The sequence below is a fragment of the Homo sapiens genome, chromosome 2, assembly GCF_000001405.40.
Source record: "Homo sapiens chromosome 2, GRCh38.p14 Primary Assembly".
Lineage (NCBI taxonomy): Eukaryota > Metazoa > Chordata > Mammalia > Primates > Hominidae > Homo > Homo sapiens.
In genome coordinates, this window is record NC_000002.12 from 145,685,931 (window position 1) to 145,692,451 (window position 6,521).

Below are 6,521 nucleotides of genomic sequence, written 5' to 3' on the forward strand. Positions count from 1 at the left end.
AGAAATGGGTGTGTCAACTGCCCTCTGAATTGTGAATTCCAACATCATGTAGCTGAGGATCTCTGGAGAAATAAGCCAGTCAGCCAACTGACAAAAGAGGCTTCAGGTTTTTGACACAAGGTGTAATGACACTTGGGCAATATGACCTGTTCCATGGCATTTTACATTATGTCGTGATAATATCACAAAACATAAAGTTCTTCAGGCGATCTGCTACATCATATTCCACCATGAGTTCATAAGGAATTTAAATAGCTGATTATCAACTTGAATTAGTGTAACTGCTGCCAGATAGTTGTAAATAACAACAATAATATATTCAAAGAGTGCCCTTAGTTAAAAATACAGTAGGCAAAGAGACAGAATCAGCATTAAACGTCACACAGAAAATTCTGAGTTAAAGATTTGGGCAGCAGTCTACGTTGCACTTGACTTAGAGGTGATTTTAATAGACTGGGTGGAATCAACAGACTTGCAGCACATATTCATGTTGAATGACTCTAGATGAGTGAAACAAAATACACAAAAGGAGACTAGGTGATAATTCTAAGAACCTATATTCTGGGAATAATATTATTAACAACTGTATTCAAATTTATCCTTACTTGTTCGCCGTTCTTTAATTTTCTCTTACTGAGGAGTTTGGAAATTGAATGTATTCATTCCCCAAAATTATGCCTGTGTGATGAGTTGAACTAATGTTTTTAGAAGTGAGCAGCTCAAATAATGAGAGTTTGGGGGCTACTATATTGCACAACTCCAGCGGGCACTATTTACATTGTATTCTGTACTGTAAATATGACATATGGTTACACTGAATTTTATCTAAAAAATAAAAGAACTTCCTGACATAAACTATTACAGTTTATACCAACAGTCTACTCTATAATTGGGCCCCTCTGCAGGCTTTTAAACATAAATTGACCTCATACTCATCTTTAGAATGGCTTATTAAGGCAGGACTCACTAAAAGTCATAATGCCTTTATAGGGGGAGTAGAGAGAAATGGAAGTTGTTGATTAAAAGAAAAACAAAAGGTAGACTACTTGACTTAAACATCTCTTATAAGCTATCTTATTTAAATATTTAATCTTCCTTTCTCCAGAGCAGGGAAGTATTTTTTTTTTATTTTATTGCTTACATAAAATTTTCTACTACACTTGCAATTAAATGTAATGTTCTCCTACTTTCTTTGTTTTTTTCTTTCCTTCCTTACTGTTAAGAGTCATAACCACTTTAGTCCTGCAATGAGATTAACATCCCTGGAAATATGAAAAATAAGATACCTTAAGAAATACTTGACATGAAGGGTGTAAGATGTGATCGACTTTCACCAGCCTCTGCACAAAGACTCCTTGGCAAAAGAAAGTCAAAGAGAGAAAAAAAAAAAAAAAAAAGGCATGAACTAGAACTATAGGTTTTTAACCTTTCCGATTTTTATCATAGGTGAAAGCAGATCTATGAAACTACTCTATTCTCTACAAACCTGAAGAGAGCCAGGCAAGTTGGGCTCCACATGTCTTGTTATCATTCCAGTAGTACTATCTTGGGAAGAGATTATTTCAGTTCTGGAAATGCTAATAGGTTGGCAACATTCCCCCAAGTCTTTCTAGCTTGAAGGAAGGAATGAGGGCAGAGTGCAGCAAGTTACTTGGAGTACTTGCATTTCTGAAGTCCTCCAAATGGCTTACCTACTATTTCCCCAGCACTTTGCTGGGTCTGTGAAACAACTTCTATGCCGGGGAATTTGAAACTTCCTAAATGGTTGAGGTGGTGCTGGGGACACGTTGTTACCTGTGTGTGTGCTTAAAACTCACTTACATGCTCACCACAAATCAAACATTTGTTTTCCAACCAGTAAAGAGGAAGTAAATTCAGATTCAAGTTTCTTTAGGAACGAGACCATGCTGAGAGGCAAATGAATGGCCACTGTGGGGAATTTATTTCTCCTGCTGAAAAAGCAAAGGCTAATAATAATTGAGGTTGATTTGCAAAATGCACAGCTTTACAATAATCATATGATACCTAGTAATTTTGAAATTGAGGTAAAAAAAGGAAGCACTTCAGAAGTCGGAATTATGAAAATCAAGAAGTTGCTTAAAATATTTGAGGGTGTGCTTAGATAATCAAATGCCATATGCTTTATTTGCTTCTGATGAGAGATCATGTTTTCCCTTGGAACAAATTACACACACAGGTGTTTGACACAGGGTTTATAAACTACCAAGAGGAGCCAGAATGTTTGGGGTTGGGGTAGGAGGTATTAATTTGGGGAAGGTGATACTTGGTGGGGACGGTGGGGACGGGGTGGAAAGAACAGGCAGTAGGAAAAAACAAGTGTTTTAGCCATATTTGCAAACTAGGTAGAGTTGTTAGAATTAGAATTTACCACCTAAGTGTAAACCCACCCTGATTTACGCAGTCAGATTCAGACTTTACTTCTCAACTACTTTGCTTATGAGTCACTCCTGTAAGAGAAATGAGAAATAATAGAATTAACATACAAATTTGCTTGTGTTTTATATATGTATATATATGTATGTATATGTATGTATATTTATTTATGCCTGCTATATGGAAACTATATACATAAGCTAGGTTAATAATTGTTTTTTTCCTACTCACAGATTCAAAAGGAAATAATTATCACTCATGGTACAGACGAGCAAACTGAGACTAATTTTAGTTCTTCTCATACTGACAGATGCTTGATAGAGAAGATACTTGTTGCCTGAAATATAAGACGTCACTATCATAATTTCTATAAGGAAATATAAAATATTGTTTTTGAGCTGGAGTCTATAATGAAACATTGCCATTGAAAATTGACCCAGGTCTGTAAAGTAAGATAGACAGTTTGACATTTCATAGATATTGTTTTCGGATATAAAAAATAACAAATAAAAAAAGAAGTGTTAACTAGACAGAATTAGGCCCACTACACAGATTTTATGATATTACATTAACTGTTCTGACTAGTATGTAGACTGTGATAGTTTGTTCTATATGACAGCCAAACATCCTGATGGAAACAGTAAATTCAGTAATATTCAATAATATACCTTATAGAAGTAGGTTTTAAAAAGTTATCAGAATGATTCATTTCAGGAGAGACTCTCTCAACTGGTCCATATGAATTAGGATGTGTTTAAACTCTCTTAAGTCTGTCTTCGAATCAGGAACGTTTCAGAAACAAAAATTAATGAAGATGGAAAGGTAACCTTTTATTTATTTTATTATTTTTTAAAATTATACTTTAAGTTTTGGGATACAAGTGCAGAATGTGCAGGTTTGTTACATAGGTATACATGTGCCATGGTGGTTTGCTGCACCCATCAACCTGTCATATACATTGGTATTTCTCCTAATGCTATCCCTCCCCTAGCCCCCCATCCCCTAATAGGTCCTGATATGTGATGTTCCCCCCACCGTGCCCATATGTTCTCATTGTTCGGCTCCCACTTCTGAGTGAGAACATGTGGTATTTGGCTTTCTGTTCCTGTGTTAGAATGATGGTTTCCAGCTTCATCCATGTCCCTGCAAAGGACATGAACTCATCCTTTTTTGTGGTTGCATAGTATTCCATGGTGTATATGTGACACATTTTCTTTATGCAGTGTATAATTGATGGGCTTTTGGGTTCATTCCAAGTCTTTAATCTTTTGAAAGCTCTGAAAGCATATTTTATAAAAACACATTCAAAGCAATTGAATATTATAGCAAAGGAATTAACTACAACAGACAGAAATTAACCATTTTAATTCTCACAGTTATTTTAATTCTGACAATTTTTTTTAAATTCCAAAACATTATCTCAAAATATAGAATGCTTGAATATTTATTATTTCTCTTTGAATACATATTACTTAAGGTAATTTCCATTATGTGTGATTTTCTGAAATTAATTACAAAAACTCATGTTTTGTGTTTTATTAAATTTTAAAATAATTTTAAAACAATAATAATTGAGCACTAGAACATTTTTAATAGTTTCTAGCTGAAGTCAACTAACGACCCAAATAGGATGTTAAAATTGTAAAACAATCAACCACTTTTGTTAAATGATAACTTGCACCAAAACCAAGTTAAATGTGAAAATATTTCTTTCTTCTCAGTGTACTCAATAATAAACTCATGGGTAGGTTTTGAAAGGCAGCACTCACAATTAGTCTGACTTATCTGGAAATGCTGTTTTTTGGTAAACAGGATTTGACTTACATTATATCCATTTTTGATAGAATATTATAATTATACAAGTCAAATGTGTTGAAAATCATTTAGGAAAGGTAATATGCTTTTTTGCAACCAGGTTATTAGTGATGTTTGAATCTTGAACAAACCTAGAATTGTAAGGTTTCTTTTCTCATTGTTGTTCTGACTGTAACTACTTAAAAATATGTGTGGAGGTGGCAAAGAGGTTGAACTGTAGTGATGTATAACCGGTAAATTTCCAAACTGGATGACTCAGCCGCATATAGCCAGCCCAATCTGTACTGATTTTACCAACGTAAGGCCTGCTGATAAATGGTAATAACAATGAAAAGAGATATTTTAAAACAATAATTTTAGCTTCCCTGTGAAATTTCTTATCTTTGCTTTCTTCCAATGTTTATTTACTCCAGTGCAAATGGATAGAGTTTCCGTATCCTTCCTCAGACTTGCAACTTCATTTATAAGATTTTAAGGTGTAGTTTAACTGATAAGGGGGAAACATTGCTTAATCTGGACAATTTGGAAATGTTAGTTGTAACAAAGTACGAAGAATTTAAAAGTTGTAGAACTAACATTTTTTGTCCTTATAACAAGATCTTTTACTTAAAGATAATTGACTTAAGGTCATAATGGATTACTACCTTGCTCATCTTATATTTCTACTAAGATGGGGAGGGAGGGTGGGATTGGAAAAGATTTTCCCTTTTCAAACTAGTGCTTTTCAGATAAACAATAATAGGCAAAAATTCTTCATTACTATTGAGTTTCTACTTTTAATTTAATTATTTTTAATGGAAATGTTAAGTATGTACCTTTAAGATACTCCATAACTTCAAAAAATTCCAATGTGGGTTATATATAGTGTTTTATTTTTAGTACTGAATGGAATTATCCCCTTTCTTTTTGTTCTTGTTTTATTTATCTTTTAAGAAAATAATCAAGCAATCCTCAAAGGTAAGGAGTTTTACTGCCTAGCTCAATTTCATAAGATAATTGTGTGCTACTTAAAACTAAGTTCCAAATCTAAGGTGAACAATTATAGATGTACTTCAAAGGGACAAAATAGATTTTTTACCAAAAGGAATTCTGAAAACATGACATGGGAAATGCACTTAGTGTTTTATTTAACAGTTATGTACTAATAAAAAATCAATATAGATATATAATTAGGAGTTATACATCCAGGAGTTTCACTCATCCTGGTGAGCTCTTTCCTCTAACATCTTTAGTGAGGTTTGTGAAATATTAGTTGTACATATCCTTCCAGTCTGGAATTACCTACTTGAGTTATCTTTTCCTTTACTGGTTAAAATAGCTTGAAATTTTGGAAAACTTAATGTCTTTCTTTTCTCCCTCTGCCTTTACTGGCAATTATTTTCTGGCAACTGATTAACTATACAAGTATAGTTCTCATGTAAGATTACATACTGGAAAAGTTGTCATAAGTAGGATATTAGCTATGTTACTTTTAAAGGGTAAAACCTGTTCTATTTGAGGTTGATTTTCATAATTTTTAGTCATTATCTAGATAATATTCTCATTAGAAAGTAGCTGATAATTAAGGTAATTAGAACTGAAGGCATTAATCTTTTCGCAAAGAACACCATTTCCAAACGGTGTGGGTTTAAGTTAGAAGAACAGGAACCAGACCAATATGGGGCCAAGTTTGGCTGACTCAATATAACAACACTGAGATGTGATGGTGTTGGCATAATGACATCATGACTCCTTTGGGACCAATGTTTTGGAGTGCAGGTGGCAGCGCTAGACTGATCTCATCGGAAAATAGCTAACCCATACAAACCAACTTTTTCAGGGTCTAGAACTGCTTTTTCCTGTCCATCCTCACCACTAGAGGAAAGGACGTGTGTAAGTGGCATTTCAATATTAACTTTGAGATGTTATAGGTTATTGAGAACCAAATATCCTACTTGACCATTAAAGCACCTATTCAGCTATTAATTAAAACTTTAAATATCAATGGGCCAAGGTATTGAGGAAGTCTAACAATCAATTTGTATCTATCACCATTACTTTTCTGGCATTTATTCATTCCTCCTGTGGACTACATAGTATCAAAATTTAATCATATAAACTACTAAAAGGTGAAAAGAATTGTGTAAATTGAATTACTCAGAATAATTTCCCATCCTTGTGACTTCACCTTATTTAGTAAATATATTACAAGTATAAAGATATAGCTGTATCTATATTTGATTTTAAGGTTTCAAAATATTTAATTTTTAAATTTGTACAAATTTTCTGATACTTTTTAAATGTACATGCAAAAACAAAACCACCAAAGTAAA

The 6,521-nt window shown here is 33.4% G+C and overlaps 1 annotated feature.

Annotated features, from left to right (window-relative positions):
• Positions 1,603–2,104: an enhancer, noted in NCBI's record as "NANOG hESC enhancer chr2:146445101-146445602 (GRCh37/hg19 assembly coordinates)". NCBI's record gives its function as "activates a minimal SCP1, AML or CMV promoter by ChIP-STARR-seq in naive H9 embryonic stem cells {active_cell/tissue: H9 hESC(naive)}" and the evidence as "EXISTENCE:reporter gene assay evidence [ECO:0000049][PMID:30033119]".